The 18,387-nt window shown below is 44.0% G+C and overlaps 1 protein-coding gene across 7 annotated transcripts in view, besides 3 other annotated features; it reads right to left on the reverse strand.

Moving 5' to 3' along the window:
* The window catches only part of KDM5C (lysine demethylase 5C), a 48,931-nt gene continuing 33,557 nt past the window's right edge, over positions 3,014–18,387 (reverse strand). For 3 of the 7 annotated variants that reach the window (NR_148674.2, NR_148673.2, NR_148672.2), the window contains 2 exons: positions 6,482–6,563; positions 3,014–3,359 (listed from right to left, as the gene is read on the reverse strand). Coding sequence is in view for 4 of the 7 variants with exons in the window: in NM_001353982.2 (NP_001340911.1) it covers positions 3,318–3,359 (42 nt within the window). In the remaining 3 variants the exon portion in view is untranslated. Of the gene's footprint in view, positions 3,360–6,481; positions 6,564–18,057; positions 18,360–18,387 lie in introns of those variants that run through there. The other 4 variants (NM_001353982.2, NM_001353979.2, NM_001353981.2 and 1 more) reach the window with 2 other exon arrangements.
* Positions 15,656–15,735: a silencer, noted in NCBI's record as "silent region_20856". NCBI's record gives its function as "represses an Ori minimal core promoter by ATAC-STARR-seq in GM12878 lymphoblastoid cells {active_cell/tissue: GM12878}" and the evidence as "EXISTENCE:reporter gene assay evidence [ECO:0000049][PMID:35858748]".
* Positions 15,916–16,195: an enhancer, noted in NCBI's record as "active region_29654". NCBI's record gives its function as "activates an Ori minimal core promoter by ATAC-STARR-seq in GM12878 lymphoblastoid cells {active_cell/tissue: GM12878}" and the evidence as "EXISTENCE:reporter gene assay evidence [ECO:0000049][PMID:35858748]".
* Positions 16,566–16,615: an enhancer, noted in NCBI's record as "active region_29655". NCBI's record gives its function as "activates an Ori minimal core promoter by ATAC-STARR-seq in GM12878 lymphoblastoid cells {active_cell/tissue: GM12878}" and the evidence as "EXISTENCE:reporter gene assay evidence [ECO:0000049][PMID:35858748]".

Here is an 18,387-nt window from a genome sequence, read left to right on the forward strand (position 1 = left end):
GCAGTGAGCCAGGATCGAGCCATTGCACTCCATCCTGGGCGACAAGAGTGAAACTTCATCTCAAAAAAAAAAGACCACCCTGGGCAACATGGTGAAGCCCTGTCTCTGCAAAAAATACAAAAATTAGCCAGGTATGGTGGTGTATGCTTGTAGTCCCAACTACTTGGGAAGCTGTGGCAGGAGGATCACTTGAGCCTGGGAGGCGGAGGTTGTAGTGAGCTAAGATCGCACTATTGCACTCTAACCTAGGTGACAGAGTAAGACACTGTCTCAAAAAAAGAAAAAGAAAAAAAAAAGAGTAAATAACGCCTGTAATCCCAGCACTTTGGGAGGCCAACGCGGGAGGATCACTTGAGCCCAGGAGTTCAACATTAGCCTCGGCAACAGAGTGAGACCTTGTCTCTACAAATTTTTTTTTAATTAGCTGGGTGTGGTGTCACGCACCTATAGTCCCAGCTACTTGGGAGGCTAAGGTGGGATCACTTGAGCCTGGGAGGTCAAGGCTGCAGTGAGACATGATCACACCACTGCACTCCAGCCTGGGTGACAGAGTGAGACTCTGTCTCAAAAAAAAAAAAAAAGATGTAAATAAATGAAGTGAGATACCATATTCACATGCATAAGCTGCTGAACTCAGTATTACAAGAATGCCAGTTCTCCCCAAGTAGCTCTACAGATTCAATGTGATTCCAATTAAACCCTGATGGGTGGGTTGGTTGGTTTGTTTCTTTTGGTGGAACTTGACTGATTCTAAAATGTATATATTAATAGAAATGAAAAAGTTAAGAATAGCCATGACTCCTGAAGAAGAACTATGATGGAGGACTTGATCTCTCAGATGTTAAGGGTTTTTTAAAAAAATAAAGCTATAGTAATTAAGAGTGTAGTACTGGCAGCCGGGCATGGTGGCTCACGCCTGTAATCCCAGCACTTTAGGAGGCCAAGGCAGGAGGATGACTTGAGGTCAGGAGTTCGAGACCAGCCTGGCAAACATGGTGAAACTCCGACTCTACTAATCCGACTGTACTAAAAATACAAAAATTAGCCAGGTGTGATGGCAGGTGCCTGTAATCCCAGCTACTTGGGAGGCTGAGGCAGAAGAATTGCTTGAACCCGGGAGGCGGAGGTTGCAGTGAGCTGAGATTGTGCCACTGCACTCCAGCCTGGGTGACAGAGCGAGACTCCATCAAAAAAAAAGAAAAAAGAAAAGAAGGATGAATCCATGCATATTCGCATACTTGATTTATCAAAAATGTGTCTCTGTAGAGCCATGGGAGCAGGGCAGTCTTTTCAACAAATGGTGCTGGGACAATTGGGTGCCCAGTTAAAAAAATAATAATAAATAACTAAAGCTAAATTGGGTATTTACGTCACATTATATATTTTTTAAAACTCAAATGATTCCCAGGTAGATTATAGACCTAAGTGTGAAAAGCAAAGAAAGTAACAAATGGGGTATATTCTTGACATTAGAATAGTAAAGTATTTATTTTTTAAAAAATAGAGATGGGAGGTCTTGCTACATTGCCCAGGCTGGTCTCAAACTCCTGGCCTCAAGTGATCCTCCCACCTTGGCCTCCCAAAGTCTTGGGATTACAGGCATGAGCCACCGCGCTGGGCCTGGGATGGTAAAAGATTTCTTAAACAAGACACCAAAAGTACAAACCATGAAAAGAAAGGACTGATAAAATTGACTCCGTCAAAAATAATAACTTCTTCACCCAGAGACACCATAAATGGTACAAAGGAAAACCACAAAATGGGAAAATTTGTTTGCATCACTTAAAATCAGATTCCATATCCAGATCGTAAGATGAAGTTCTACAATTCAACAAGAGAAAGATAGATAATCAATAGAAAAATATGTGAAAGAGTTGAACAGTTTTACAAGAGAGTACTTGAATGGCCAGTAAAAAAATATGAAAAGGTAGGCCTGGTGTGCTGGCTCATGCCTGCAATCCCAGCAACTTGGGAAGCCCAGGTGGGAGGATCAGTTGAGACCAGGAGTTGAAGACCAGCCTGGGCAACATAGTGAGACCATCTCTACAAATTTTTTTTTTAATATCCAGGCATGATGGTGGCATGCCTGTAGTCCCAGCTGCTTAGGAGCCTGAGGCAGGAGGACTGCCTGAGCCCAGCCCTGTAGTTCAAGGCTGCAGTGAGCTGTGATCATGCTACTGCACTCCAGCCTGGGCAACAGAGCAAGACCCTGTCTCTAAAAAGAAAAAAATATTAAAGGTGCTCAACTTCATTAATTATCAGGAAAATGCCTGTTTAACACACATGAGATACCATTTTACAATCCTCAGCTTGGCAAAAATTTAAAATTGACTGTTCCAAGGGTTGGGAAATATGTGGAATAATAGGACCTTTCATACTCTGCTGGTTGGAATATACATTAGTAAAACTACTTCTTCAGAAAAGTTTGACACTAGCTAGAAAAGTTAAAGATGTGCATACCTTTTGTCCCAATAAGTCATACACCCTACGGAAATGTATGCTTAGGGCCGGGTGCGGTGGCTCATGCCTGTAATCCCAGCACTTTGGGAGGCCAAGGTGGGCAAATCACCTGAGGTCAGGAGTTCGAGACCAGCCTGGTCAACATGGTGAAACCCCATCTCTACTACAAATACAAAAATTAGCTGGGTGTGGTGGTGCACACCTGTAGTCCCAGCTACTCGGGAGGCTGAGGCAGGAGAATGGCTTGAACCTGGGAGGTGGAGGTTGCAGTGAGCTGAGATTGCACCACTGTACTCCAGCCTGGGCGACAGAGCAAGACTCTGTCTTAAAACAAAACAAAAAAAAGTCTGCTTATGTATACCAGGAAATATGTACAAAAATGTTCTTGCAGCATTGTTTATACAGTTAAATATCAGAATGTTCCAAATGCCTTTCAAAAGTAGAGTTGACAGATTATGGTAGATTCATAAAATGAAATACTGTTGCCGAACACCAGGGGTTCAGCCTAGGCCTGGTTGCTTGCCGCACAGAAAGCCAATCACTGAGATGAATATTGCCAGGGAAGAACAGCTTTAATGCCAGTAATGTCAGCCAGGAGATGGGAGACCAGTCTCAAATCCATCTCTCCAATTGACTAAAGTTAGGGGTTTATATAGTAGGGAAGGAACGTAAAACAAGAATTAGGGAGGAGTAAGGAAGAGGAGTTGGTCAACGGGCAGCAGGTGGTTGGATGAGGGGTCTGGTGTCTCACCGTAACCATATGCAGGAAAACAGAAATTCGGGAGGTATAAAGAAGAGGAGTTTGTCAACAGGCAGCAGCCATGTCTCATTGTCTGGATGTGGTGATATGGGAGATTTCAGTTCCTCGATTCTCTCTGGGAGGCCTGATGGTTGGTTTCCTGAGAAAGGAACTCAGATAAAAACAAATATAAGTTTCTCAATTTTCAGTTTAGTGCAAAAACTGGGTTGATTTCAATACTATACAGGCAAGAAGATAAAGCACAGCTATATGTTAAAACGTGGATCAATCTTAAAAGCATAATGTTGAATGAAAGAAACCAAACACAAGAGAATACATACTGTACGACTCTATGATGTTAATAAAAACAGGCAAAACTAAACTACACAAATAGGAAGTCATGCTTAAGTGGTAAAATGTTAAAGAAAAGTAAGGAAGTGGTGACCATAAAAGTCAATGTTTGGATCCTGAATCAAACAATCTAACTATTAAAAGATATATTTTGGTCGGGTGTGGTGGCTCACACCTGTAATCCCAGCACTTTGTGAGGCCAAGATGGAAGGATCACTTGAGGCTGGAAGTTAGAGACCAGACTGGGCAACAGAGCAAAACTCTATCTCTACAAAAAAAATTCAAATTAGGTGCACTTGGTTTCTCAAGTCACCCACTTAGCCCTCTTCCAAGTTGTACTTTCCTTCTTTTCTTTCCTTTCCTTACTGTTCTAAAGCTTTTAAATAAACTTTCACTCCTGCTTTGAAAAAAATAAAAATTAGCCAGGTGTGGTGGTGTATGCCTGTAGGCCCAGCTACTCGGGAGGCTGAAGCTGGAGGATCACTGGAGCCCAGAAGCTTGAGGTTACAGTTTGAGCTATGATTGTGCTGCACTCCAGCCTGGATGACAGAACAAGACCCTGCATTTTAAAAAAATGTTTTTTATTTGTAAATAATTTTTCAAATATGTTTTTAGTTAAATTGGGAACATCTGAATATAATGACATTCATTTGACTATGATGACAGTAAGGAATGATTGTGAATTGTGTTAGGTGTACTAATCGTTTTGTAATTACATAAGGAAATGTCTTCATGTCATGTTTCACGATTTTAAAAGGCAAATAAAACAGGAAACAATGTTTGTATGAATGCCCTCTAATTGTAACAGGAATGATCCTTCAGGTAAATAATGTCCTTGCATCTGTGAAACTTCTACCTACAGACACTAAGAAACAACAGATTCCTGTTTGGAGTAATAATCAGTTATATCATTTGATTTAAACTGACTCAGCTTAATGTTTAATAAGTAAATTGTTAAATGTTTGAGAAGGAAACAGGTCTACTTGTACACGTCTTTCTGGTCTGTTCTAATGTACTCTTTGCTTTGGCTCAGATCAAAATGTTTGAAGAAAAAAACCCTTTATTTTCAGGGTCTCACTCTGTCACCAAGGCTGGAGTACAGTGGCGTGATCACGGCTCACTGCAGTCTCCACCTCCCGGGCTCAAGCAATCCTCCCACCTCAGCCTCCAAAGTAGCTGGGACTATAGGTGCACGCTACTCTGCTCAGCCAATATTTTATTTTTTGTTGAGACAGGGTCTCACTATGTTGTCCAGGCTGGCTTGAACTCCTGGGCTCAAGCGATTCTCCTGCCTCAGCCTCCGAAAGTGTTGGGATTATAGGCCTAAGCCACCATGCCTGGCCAGAAAAGAACTTTATTCTTGCTATTTCAGTGCATTTTTTAAATGCCTGAAATGTGTTCAATATGTCTATATCTTAGAACCTCTGCAACTCAATGTTTTCTGCTTTCAAAGCAAAGTTAAATTGGGAACTTTTAAATGGAGAACATTTGCCTGTATTGGACATGAGGGTATATGTGTATATATGGGTGTTTTAAAGTATACACATGACTGGCCTTTTCATTCTTTGTCTCTATGTGATGCTGTATTTGAGAAGTTATACCTTGTTTTAGTCTAATAATAGGTAGCATATTTTGACCATTTATGAACAACAATAAATACATATTGCTGACATAATTAAGAAAAAACTTTTTAAAAGGCAAGATCATGGTTGTAAACTTTTAGTTCAAGGCATGGTCAGACACTGGGGAGCTTCTTTCACTGCCCTCAAAAAAGAAATCTCCTTTACACCCTTCAAAAAATTAACTCAAAGTGGATCATACACCTAAATGTAAAATGCAAAACTATAAAACCCCTAGAAGATAACATAGGAGAACATGTAAGTGCCCTTGGGTATGGCAATAACTTTTTAGGTACAACGCCAAAGGCATGATCCATGAAAGAAATGATTGATAAGCTTGACTTCATTCAGATTAAAAACTTCTGCTCTGCAAAAGATACTGTCACCCGGGTGTGATGGCTCATCCTGTAATCCCAGCACTTTGGGTGGCTGAGGTGAGTGGATCAGCTGAGGTCAGGAGTTTGAGACCAGCCTGGCCAACATGGTGAAACCCCATCTCTACTAAAAACACAAAAATTAAATCCGGGGGTGGTGGCTCACGCCTGTAATCCCAGCACTTTGTAAGGCTGAGGTGGGTGGATCACCCGAGGTCAGGAGTTCAAGGCCAGCCTGGCCAACACGGTGAAACCTTGTCTCTACCAAAATACAAAAATTAGCCAGGCATGGTGGCAGGTGCCTATAGTCCCATCTACTTGGGAGGCTGAGGCGGGAGAATCGCTTTAATCCTGGAGGCGGAGGTTGCAGTGAGCCAAGATCGTGCCATTGCACTCCAGTCTGGGTGACAAGAGCAAAACTCCGTCTCAAAAAAAAAAAAAAAATTCAAAAATTAGCTGCAGTGAGCCGAGATCGTGCCATTGCACTCCAGCCTAGGTGACAGAGAGAGACTCCCTCTCCAAAAAAAAAACAAGACACTGTCAAGAGAATGAGAAAACAAACTATAGACTGGTATAAAGTATTTGCAAAAGACATATCTGATAAAGGATCTTTAAGACACATAAATAACTCTTAAAACTCAACAATAAGAAAAGGAACATCCCGATTTAAAAACAGGCAAAAGAAGCCTGGCATGGTGGCACATGCATGTAGTCCCAGCTACTTGAGGGCTGAGGCAGGAGGATCATTTGACTGAGGAGTTTGAGATGAGCCTGGGCAACACAGCAATACCCCACCTCATAATAAGAAAAAGGGAAAAGACCTGAACAGACACCTCACCAAAAAAGATATACAGATGGCAAATAAGCATGTTAAAAGATGCTCCACATCATATGTCATTAGGGTTTGCAAATTAATACAGGGAGATACCACCACATACCTATTAGTATGGCCAAAATCCAGGACACCGACAATACCAAATGCTGATGAGGATATGGAGCAACGGGAACTCTCATTCATTGCTGATGGGAATGCAAAATGGTTCAGCCACTTTGGAAGACAGTTTGGTAGGTTCTTACAAAACTAAACATATTCTTACCTTACCATTCAGCAATCACACTCTTTTGTATTTGCCCAAGTGATTTGAAAATTTACAACTACATAAAAACCTGCAATGGATATTTATAGCCGATTTATTCACAACTGCCCAAACTTGGAAGCAACCAAGATGCCCTTCAGTAAGTAAATAGATAAAATGTGGTACATCCAGACAACAGAATGTTATTCAGCAATAAAGATAAATGAGCTATCAAGCCACCAAGAGACATGGAAGAATCTTAAATGCATATTAATAAGTGAAAGAAGGCAATCTGAAAAGGCTATATACTATATGATTCCTAAATAATAACATTCTGGAATAGGTAAAACTATGGAGACAGTAAAAAAAATCAGAGGTTGCTAGGAGTTATGGGAGGGAAGTATGAATAGGTGGAACACAGAGGATTTTTAGGGCAATGAAACTACTCTGTATGATACTATAATGGTGGATACATGTCATTATACATTTGTCAAAGCCCATAGAGTGTACAACACCAAGAGTGAACCTTAATGTAAGCTATGTACTTGACCAATTATGTGCCAGTGTATTGACTATAACGAATGTACCACTCTGCTGGGGATGTTGATAGTGGGGGAAGCTGTGCCTGTGTAGGAGCAGGGGGTATATGGGATACATACTTTCCACTCAATTTTGCTGTGGACCTAAAACTGCTCAAAGAAATAGAGTCTCATTCTGTCACCCAGGCTTAAGGGCAGTGGTGTGATTTCGGCTCACTGCAAACTCTGCCTCCGGGGTTCAAGCGATTATCTTGCCTCAGCCACCCGAGTAGCTGGGATTACCACCACCACACCCGGCTTTTTTTTTTTTTTTTTTTTTTTTTTTGAGATGGAGTCTCACTGTCGCCCAGGCTGGAGTGCAGTGGCGCGATCTCGGCTCGCTGCAGGCTCCACCCCCCGGGGGTTCACCCCATTCTCCTGCCTCAGCCTCCCAAGTAGCTGGGACTACAGGCACCCGCCACCACGCCTGGCTAATTTTTTGTATTTTTAGTAGAGACGGGGTTTCACCGTGTTAGCCAGGATGGTCTCGATCTCCTGACCTCGTGATCCGCCCGCCTCGGAAATTTTTGTATTTTTAGTAGAGGAGGGGTTTCACCATGTGGGCCAGACTGGTGTTGAACTCCTGGCCTCAAGTGATCCGCCCACCTCGGCCTTCCAAATTGCTGGGATTAGAGGTGTGAGCCACCACGCCTAGCCTATATTTATATATATATATTTTTTTTTGTTTGTTTGTTTTTTGTTTTTAAGTAATCTTTTTATCTCTTCCAGGCACAGGACTGATGCAGCCTGAAATCAGACATAAAACCAAATCCTGCAGGTTGCTGAATTACAACGCAGGTTGAATTCATAGGATCTCCAGGTCTCATATGCAAAAACATGGCTACTGATTAGGGAACAATGGGACCTTGAGACTAGGAATAGGAACATCAGGATTGATTTGGATAGATCTGAGCACCCTAAACCCCAACCCTCACTGAGTTTCCCCTGGCAGCAGAAGCAGCCCTTCTTCCCCAGTCTATGGGGCTGGTCCTGCCTGACTTGGGGACCCTCTCACTGTTAGGCTAATCTTTTCAAGATCCACCCGTATCATCTCTTGCTGCCTCCAGACCCATTACTGAATTCAGATTCCTGTATGTCCCAGGAAGTAAAGTCAAACCTATGAGGAGAAAGCACACACACACAAATGATAAGATTTAGCTAATTTATACTGGCAGAAACCTCCATAATATGGGTGACAGAGTGAGACCATGTCTCAAAAAAAAAAAAAAAAAAAAAAAAGAAAAAGAAAAAAAGAAACCTCCATAATATGTGAGAACTGATTCTATGGATGATAGATCGGGAAAAAGAAGTGTAATTTTTGATTGGGCCAAACTTTTTTTTTTTTTGAGACGGAGTCTCGCTCTGTCTCCCAGGCTGGAGTGCAGTGGAGCGATCTCAGCTCACTGCAAGCTCCGCCTGCTGGGTTCACACCATTCTCCTGCCTCAGCCTCCCGAGTAGCTGGGACTACAGGCGCCCACCACCACACCTGGCTAATTTTTTGTATTTTTAGTAGAGACAGGGTTTCACTGTGTTAGCCAGGATGGTCTCGATCCCCTGACCTCGTGATTAGCCCGCCTCGGCCTCCCAAAGTGCTGGGATTACAGGCATGAGCCACCCTTTTTTGTTTTTTTTTTTTTTTTGATATGGATTTTCGCTCTTGTTGCCCAGGCTGGAGTGCAATGGCTTGATCTCGGCTCACCACAACCTCCGCCTCCCGATTTCAAGTGATTCTCCTGCCTCAGCCTCCCGAGTAGCTGGGATTACAGGCATCCACCGCCAGGCCTGGCTAATTTTGTATTTTTAGTAGAGACGGGTTTCTCCATGTTGGTCAGGCTGGTCTCGAACTCCCGACCTCAGGTGATCCACCCACCTTAGCCTCCCAAAGTGCTGGGATTACAGGTGTGAGCCACTGCGCCTGGCTGGGCCAAACTTTTTCATTGTGGTAAACTATATATAACATAAAAATTTCTGGAAAGGCTCACTGTAGCTGCCACCTCCCAGGTTCAAGTGATTCTCCTGCCTCAGCCTCCCAAGTAGCTGGGATTACAGGCACATGCCACCACGCCCAGCTAATTTTTGTATTTTTGGTAGAGATGGGTTTCACCATGTTGGCCAGGATGGCCTCGAACTCCTGACCTCAGGTGATCCGCCCACCTCGGCCTCTCAGAGTGCTGGGATTACAGGCGTGAGCCACTGCGCCTGGCCTCCTTTGCCCATTTTTAAATTGAATTGCTTGTCTTTTTGTTGTTGAGTTGTAGGAGTTGTTTGTATATTCTGGATAGTAAATCCTTATCAGATATATGACTGCAAATATGTTATCTTATTCTGTAGGCTGTCTTTTCACTTTCTTGATGTCCTTTGATGCACAAAATTTTTAATTCTGATGAAGTCCAATTTATCTGTTTTTTCTGTTGTTGCTCATGCTTGTAGTGTCACACCTGAGACTGTTGCCACATCCAAGGTCATGAACATTAACTCCTATGTTTTCCTCCAGTTTTATGGTTTTAGGACTTAAATTTAGGTCATTAATCCATTTTGAGTTAATGGTATCTGGTGTGAATTAGGCATCCAACTTCATACTTTTGCATGTGAAAATCCAGTTGTCCCAGCACCATCTGTTGAAGAGACTAATCTCTCCCCTCGTTGAATGGACTTGGCACTCTTGTAAAACATCAATTGGTGGCTGGGCACAGTGGCTCACACCTGTAATCCCAACATTTTTGGGAGGCTGAGGTGGGAGGACTGCTCGAGCCCAGGAGTTTGAGGCCAGTCTGGGCAACAGAGTGAGACCCTGTCTCTACAAAAAAAAAAAAAAAAAAAAAAAATTAGCTGGGTGTATTGGCACATGCCTTTTAAATCCCACCTACTTGGGATGCTGAGGTAGGAGGATCATTTGAGCCCAGGAGTTTGAGGCTGCAGTGAGCCTCAAACTGCAGTGAGCCAAGATTACGCCACTGCACTCCAGCCTGGGCAACAGAGCAAGACTGTGTCTTGAAAAAAAAAAATTGGCCATTTGACTTTGTTCTTTTTTTTCTAAGATTGTTTTGGCTATTCACGGCCCCTTGTAATTCCATATGAATTTGAGGATCAGCTTTTTCATTTCTTTTTTTTTTCTTTTTTTTTTTGAGACGGAGTCTTGCTCTGTCACCCAGGCTGGAGTGCAGTGGCGCGATCTCAGCTCACTGCAACCTCCGCCTCCCAGGTTCAAGCAATTCTTCTGCCTCAGCCTCCCGAGTAGCTGGGATTACAGGCATGGATTACCATGCCCGGATAATTTTTTTAAATTATTTTTAGTAGATACGGGGGTTTCACCATGTTGGCCAGGCTGGCCTCGAACTCCTGACCTCGTGATCTGCCCGCCTCAGCCTCCCAAAGTGCTGGGATTACAGGCATAAGCAACCGCACCCCGCTAGCTTTTTCATTTCTGCAAAAAAGCTGTTGGAATTTTCATAAGGACTGTGTTGAATCTGTAGATCACTTTGGCTAGTATCAACATCTTATCAGTATTAAGTCTTCCAATCTATGAACATGAGATGCCTTTCCATTTCTTTAGATCTTTAATTTCTTTCACCAATGTTTCATGGTTTTCAATATACAAGTCTTTCTCCTCCTTGATTAAATTTATTCCTAGATATTTTATTCTTTCAGATGCTATTGTAAATTGAATTGTTTTCTTAACTTCATTTTGGATTGCTCATTGCTAGTGTATAAAAGCACACTGCTTTTTATGTGTTGATCTTGCACCTTGCAACTTTGCTGAATTTATTAGCTGTATGCCTTTTTTATTTTTTTAAGAGAGATGAGGTCTCATTCTGTCACCTAGGCTGGAATGCAGTGGCATGATCATAGCTCACTACAGCCTCAAACTCCTGGACTCAAGGGAGCCTCCTTCCTCAGCCTCCCGTGTAGCTGGGAGTACAGACACACATCACCATGCCCAGCTAATTTTTAAATTTTTTTTGTAGAGATGGGGTCTTGCTATGTTGCCTAAGCTGGTCTCGAACTCCTGGCTTCAAGCAGTCCTCCCACCTCAGCCTCCCAAAGTGCTGGGATCATAAGTGTTGGCTACCACACCCAGCCTGAAATGCCTTTTCTGCATCAAGTGAGATGATCATGTGTTTCTTTTCCTTTGTTCTATTAATGTGATGTTATTACCTTGATCGATTTTCTTATGTTGAACCATTCTTGCATTCCTAAGATAAATCCCACTTGGCCAAGACGTATCCTACTTTTAATATGCTGTTGGATTTAGTTTGCTAGTATTTTGTTGGGGATTTTGCATCTATATTCATAAAGGATATTTGTCTGTAATTTTATTTTCTTGTGATGTCTTTATCTGGTTTGGGTAGGGCCAAACTTTTCAGTATGGGTACACTCATCAGCAATCCTGGATGTACTTTGTTAGTTGAAGCAGCTAGGAGTATTTCTAAAAATTGTTCTATTGATTGACCAAAACCTCTACTCAATAGTAGCTTGTGTTAAATGAGGTTAAGATGCCAGAAATTCCATGGTACAGTGTAGGCAGGGGAATCCATCGTTTAGGGCAATAAGAATGTTGGAATCGATTAGTCATATGTAACACATTCAACTCACCCTTTTGACTATGTGGACATTGACATTCCTTTCACAGGACTTTGAGAAATACACTGTGGTAGAGACTAGCTAAGTGGTCATTAAACTTGTTTCCTCTTCCTCCTAGGGACAGATTTAGACTACATTTGTCAGTGTCCCTTACAGTTGGGTATGCCCATTGTCTGAGTTCTGGCTAATGGAATATGAGAAGTGATGTGTGCTACATCCGGCTCATAGAAACCTCCCACATGGTCTTTTCCTCTTCTGGCTATTAAGGATGGAGATGACAATAAATACAATGATGACCATGTTTTGAAGATGGCAGACCTTCTAGACAGAAAGTGCCTAAGCCTCTGAATCATCACTTAGAAGAGGGAAACTCAATTATTAACACCTGTTTTGGAATACTACAGAAGCAAGAAGTAAACTTGTCTTAAATCTCAGAAAATTTTTTTCTGTCCCAGGAGCTAGCTTTACCTTAACTAGTACATGAATGAGTACCAGTATTATAAAGCATTGCAGTGATTTATTTCTGCAGGTGAGGGTCATGGTGAGAAATCATGAATGGGCTCCCTGATTTCAATGGAGGTGACAGGTTCATCTCCAAAGAGAAGTTGGGTCTCGTTCTTATAATGGATAGCAGAGCCATAGCAATAATCAGGTTTGACCTGTGGAGGTTTGTATAACAGTGGATAATTAAGGATAGTTTCCCTAGGACCAAAATAGGTAGCCTGATAAAGTCCTAGTTGTTATATAACCCCAATAATCTTCTACTCTGGAAAATGGAGGCCTGATTTTGTCCTCAAAAATGTGGCATCCCAGCCTCTTCCCCAGTTCATAGACCAGAGCCCCTTGAATGAAGGGGAGGGTCCATCTGAAGAAGGACCTTGCTACACTTTTCACAAGTGTGTATGGCAAAATCTCCCTCCTTGCTTTCCTCACAGAGACCTGCAGCCACAGTCATTGTACACTGGGGACAGGGAAATATCCAGGCCTTTGAAATAGACTGGATATTGGTTCTGAATTAATGTTAATCTCTGGTGATCCAGATTGCCACTGCAGCCCATCAGTCAGAGTGGGATGGGGTTATACATGAAGTTTTGATCTGAGTCTTTCTTACACTGGGCCCAGAAGAAATCCTGTGGTGATTTCTCCAGTTCTTGGATATACTATTCGAATCTACACAGTATAGATGGCATAAAGGGGAGGAGGACTACAGCTGAAGAGCAAGTTAAAGATTCAAGAAATGGGGGATAAAATTGGAGGTGGCAATATCGTGACAACAGGAGTCCCAGGAGCAGAGAAAAATAAAAATGGAAAAGTGGGTCTATTTTGTGAATGAATGGCTGAGCATAGGACTCCAAGTGACCCAGGCAAGCTGAGCTCCCCATGGTGAGTTGTGTGTTAACTGTCTCATCAAGCCACGAAGTTATCTATGTGCAGTAGCACTCCACCACCGAATAGAATAGAGTTATACAAGCAGGCCTAGATGATGAATAAGCTGCCTGAGCAAGTGAATCATACTCCCAACTGCTGTACTGCCATCCCTCTCTCACCCACACCTGAAGCCTCATGGGGAATTCCCTGTGACCAGGTGACTAAGGGATACAATATTCTATTCCAGCTTGGTTTATACATAGCCCTGCATGATATGCTGGCCCTGCTGAAGTAGCTAGCTGTAGTGTTACAGCCCTACTTAGGGTTGATCCTGAAGGACAGTGAGAAGGGAAATTCTCCCAGTAGAACAACTGCCTGGTCACATAGCTGGTCAGAGGTATAGATAGGTTTCCACTGTTTCATGAGTAGTTTTTAATGATTCGGCTAAATGGTGAAGGACTTGGAAATAACAGGACTGAAATATTATTGACAAGGTCTGAGGAAGAGCATATGGCTGTCCCTCTTGGAATGGGCAGAGATATTCACGTCCCACATAAATAAGCACCAGAGAGAGTCCACTGCAGAAGAGGAGCTCAATCAAGTAGACAGGTAGGTGTCCTGTTCTGTGATGTCAGTCAGCCTCTTATCTGTCACCCTTTTCTTTGCCCAATGGATTCCTGAACAAAATGGCCATGGTGGCAGGCATGGAGGTTATGCATGGACTCCACAATATGGACTTCCACCACGACCAATCTGGCTATAAGCCACTGCTGAGTGCCCAACCTGCCAACAGAACAGTAACCCAAGCCCCCCTGTGGAACTATTTCTTGGTGGCAGCTGATTACAGACAAGACAAAATGAAAAAAAGCCACTGGACCCCCAAAATTCTACTGGCAGGAAGCAAACTGGGGAAACAGTTCAGCTGCAAACATTTGCTGCCTTTCATGAAAAAGGAAGGCACACAGGGTAAAACCAAGAGATCAGAGGGCAGAGCCTTAGAATATTATTCCCAGGCCTTGACATCTAATCAAGAAACTTCCATTTTCCCAGCTGGATTTCAGAGTTGTTAGTTATAGACCAGTAACTCCTTTATGTCTCCCATTTCCCCTCTTTTTGAACCAGAATGTCTGTAGTAGTTGTCCTATGGCTATCCCACCATTGTACCTAGGGTGTGTTGGGGACAGATAACTTGCCTCTTAAGTCTCACAAATCAGCCAGGCACGGTGGCTCATGCCTGTAATCCCAGCACTTTGGGAGGCCAAGGTGGAAGGATTGAGCCCAGGAGTTTGAGAACAGTCTGGGCAATATAGTAAGATCTCGTCTCTATAACAAAATAAAAATAAAAAATAATTTTCTTTTTTTTTTTTGAGACGGAGTCTTGCTCTGTAGCCCAGGCTGGAGTGCGGTGGCGTGATCTCGGCTCACTGCAAACTCCGTCTCCCGGGTTCAAGCGATTCTCCTGCCTCAGCCTCCAGGCGCCCACCACCACTCCCGGCTAATTTTTTGTATTTTTAGTAGAGACGGGGTTTCACCGTGTTAGCCAGGATGGTCTCGATCTCCTGACCACATGATTCGCCCGCCTCGGCCTCCCAAAGTGCTGGGATTACAGACGTGAGCCACTGCACCCGGCCAAAAAATAATTTTTTACAAAAAAACAATTGTCTCACAAATCTAAAGATGGAGAAAAATAGTAGTTAAGAAGCCATACTCAAACAGCCTCTTTCATATATGGACCTGATTTAGATGTTCTGGATTTTGGGGCAATGCTGTAATTGGATGAGACTTTGAGAGACTTTGGGAAGTGGTGAATGTATATTGCATGTGGAAGCAACATGAATCACCAGGACCAGTGGAAAAACTATAGTTGTCAGTCTCCAAGATGACCCCCAATGACCCCCCGCCTCCTGGTATTCACACCTTTGTGTAATCCCCTCCCATTGAGTGTGGCCTGGACCTAGTAACTGACCTACTTTTTTTTTTTTTGAGACGGAGTTTGCACTTGTTGCCCAGACTGGAGTGCAATGGCGCGATCTTGGCTCACCGCAACCTCTGCCTCCCGGGTTCAAGCAATTCTCCTGCCTCAGCCTCCTGAGTAGCTGGAATTACAGGCACCCGCGACGACACCCAGCTAATTTTGTACTTTTAGTAGAGATGGGGTTTCTCCATGTTGGTCAGGTTGGTCTCGAACTCCTGACCTCAGGTGATCCGCCCGTCTCAGCTTCCCAAAGTGCTGGGATTACAGGTGTGAGCCACTGTGCCCGGCAGTAACTGACTTACTTCTAACGAATAGAATATTGCAAAAGTGATGGGATCTCACATCTGAAATTAAGTTATAAAGACTATGAGTTCTGTCTGGCATGTGGGCACTCTCCTTCTATCTCTAGCTCATCTTACTTGTTTGCTGTGATGAAGCAAGCTGCCATATTATGAGCCACCCTATGAAAGGGTGCACATGGCAAGGAACCTGAGAGTGACCCCCAGCCAACAGCCAGCAAGACTGAATATGCCAACAGCCACATGAGTCAGCTTGAAAGCAGATCTTTCCCCAGTCAAGCCTTGAGATGACTGTAGCCCCAGCTCACACCTTGCTGGCTGTGAGACCCTGAAACAGAAACTCAGCTAAGTTGTGCCCAGATTCCTAACCACAGGGACTGTGAGATAAAATGTTGTTTTAAGCCACTGTTTTTGAGATAATTTGTTATGTAGCAAATATATAACCAATAGAGATAGGCGTGGAGGTTATGTACCTCGGCAATATGAACTTCTAACCTACCAAGGCCACTGTGGCCCTAGCACTGCTGAATTCCCAACCTACCAACAGCAGAGATCAACACTGAGCTCCCACTGTGAACTATTTCCGGATTGCAGGCTGATTACTTTGGACCCCTTCTGTCTAGCACAGGCCTTAGGGTCACAGAGATTTGGTGAAAATCCCAGCTCTGCCAGGCTGATATGCTTAGGTGAGGCCTGTTTTCCTAGGGGTCTGTTTCCTGTGTCTGTTGGGGACTTTGTGAAATACCTCACATGGAGCTGAGCACCCAGGTGGAGGTTCACAAGGGGCTGTTCCCCTTCCTTTCATGTGAGTGCCCAGGGGCAAGAACCCTGTTCCTCTGCTTCCTAACCCCTCTTCTCCCATCACAATTTCAGGTCTTCTGGGAAGCATGGTTAGTGTCTGCCCCTTCAAGGACCCACTGACCATGTACCTCAGACCCCAGGCGCCACTCCCAAGGGGTGGTATCCTGTACCACTGGACTCTGCAATGCAAAGGAAACAGAGTCATATGCACAGTGTGGAGCCCCAACTGATGCTCCTACCTCCTTCTAAGCTAGATTGCGGGCCCTTGGCCTGGAAGTGGAGACAGACTGAGGCCTGGGCCTTGCCTTCCCTCCAGAAGCTCCAGAGCTTGGGGGTGGGAGGAGAGACAGACCTATTAATCTTAGTGTGTTTCAGACACCAGGTAAGGCACAGGTGGAGACACTAAGGAGAAGGGGAAGAAGGGTTCAGTTGGGCCTGAAGGGTTTGGGTAAAGTCCTTAATAGAAGTGATGTCTCTTTCCATCCCCTTGTCACCTGCAGATTCAGGAGCCATCCTGAGGGATGTGGCAACATTTGGGAGGACTCGGCAGCTAGGTGATATCTCTATAATAGAAAATGACTTTGAGGTGAGAAGATACCCACTGCTTCCCTGACCTCATTCTCCCCAGCCCCTTATCTGAGGGGGAGGGTGTCCCCTGAGCCAGTCCCCCTCCCTTTCTAGGGGAGTATCTGGGAAAGAGGGCAGATTTGGAACCAGAGAAAGCTCTCTGGAAGAGGTTAGATTTGATCTGGGTCTTGCAGGATGATGGCCAGGGCCTCTCCTGCAGAGTTCATGGAATGCATGTCTGCTGTGAAGGAGTGTGTGAGGGATGGGACACAGACGTGCCAACATGGTAAAGGCTGTCTGAAAACTGGTGAAGGATGGGCCTATACCAGGGAGGCCTCCGTCCTGGGCCAAGCAGTTCTCTAACCTGGGAGTTGCTTCAGGTTGTAGGCACCATCTCTTCCTCTCCTGTCTGGACACTTCCTGTGGCTGACTGCCTTGGCAGTGGTAGTTAAGTGCTGAGATTGAGCCCCTTCCTGCCCATCCCAGCTCTCACACTCATCTCTCCTGTCAGCTCCTCCAACCCCCTTTTCATGATCAATTCCAGCCAAAAGGTCAGCCTTTTCCCCTAGACTGAGACCTGGGGTCAAGCTGGACCCGGCAGGGTTGTCCACGGACTCCTCTCTCTCTCCTTACTTGTATAGCCTAGGGTCCCAACTGGAAGACTAGATGAAGCAGGGCTGAGCCAGACCTTCCCACCAATCAAAGCTGCCAGAAGAGGGCGGGCTTTCTTATTTACCACTAGGTTCCTATCAGCTGCAAATATTGGGAAGGGGGAATGAAACCCATGAACGTTCAGATGAGAAAGCAAAATAAGAGTGGCAGTGTGCTAAGCTCCTGGGCTAGGGATCAGGACCCAGCCTTTAGCCTCCTCACAGCCCCTTGAGAGGACGGAAAGCCCTTGAGGCAGGCATGATAGGAAGCTGACTGGCTTAGGGCTTCCATACTCTTGCTTCCTCCTTTGTATCCTCGTATCATGGGCAGACTCCAAACACAGAACACTCAAGACCACAAAGAATGGTTCTTAGCCTTTGGAGGGTCAAGGATCCCTTTATGAATCTGATACAAGCTGGTTAGTCTTCTTGTCAGAAAAACACATGCATGCAAACACCCACAAAAACATGTAAACAATCTGTTGATGGTCCCTGATTTAGTCCAGCACCCTCATCTTAAAGACTTTGGGACTCAGAAGAGAGATCTTTCCAACTACTATGGGACCATTAATGGGCTTGAAACCACTTTGCTAAGTGAAAGAAGCTAGACACAAAGGATCACATATTATACGATTCCATTTATGTAAAATGTCCAGAATAGGCAAATGGGATGAGGGGTAAAGGACGCCTAAGGGATATGGAGTTTCTTTCTGCAGTGATGAAAATGTTCTGAAATTTTTTTTCGAATGATGGCTGCACAACTCTGAATATACTAAAAGCTATTTAATTGTATACTTTTAAGTGGGTGACTGTATGGTATGTACATTATATATATCAATAAGCTGTCTTAAAAAAGTGAACTCAGGGGTTGCAAATGACCACACATCTGAGCTTTAGTCCCCATTCATCAGGGGCATAACCTGTGGAGAAAAATCAGGGAATTATGCA

The sequence above is a fragment of the Homo sapiens genome, chromosome X, assembly GCF_000001405.40.
Source record: "Homo sapiens chromosome X, GRCh38.p14 Primary Assembly".
Classification (NCBI taxonomy): Eukaryota; Metazoa; Chordata; class Mammalia; order Primates; family Hominidae; genus Homo; species Homo sapiens.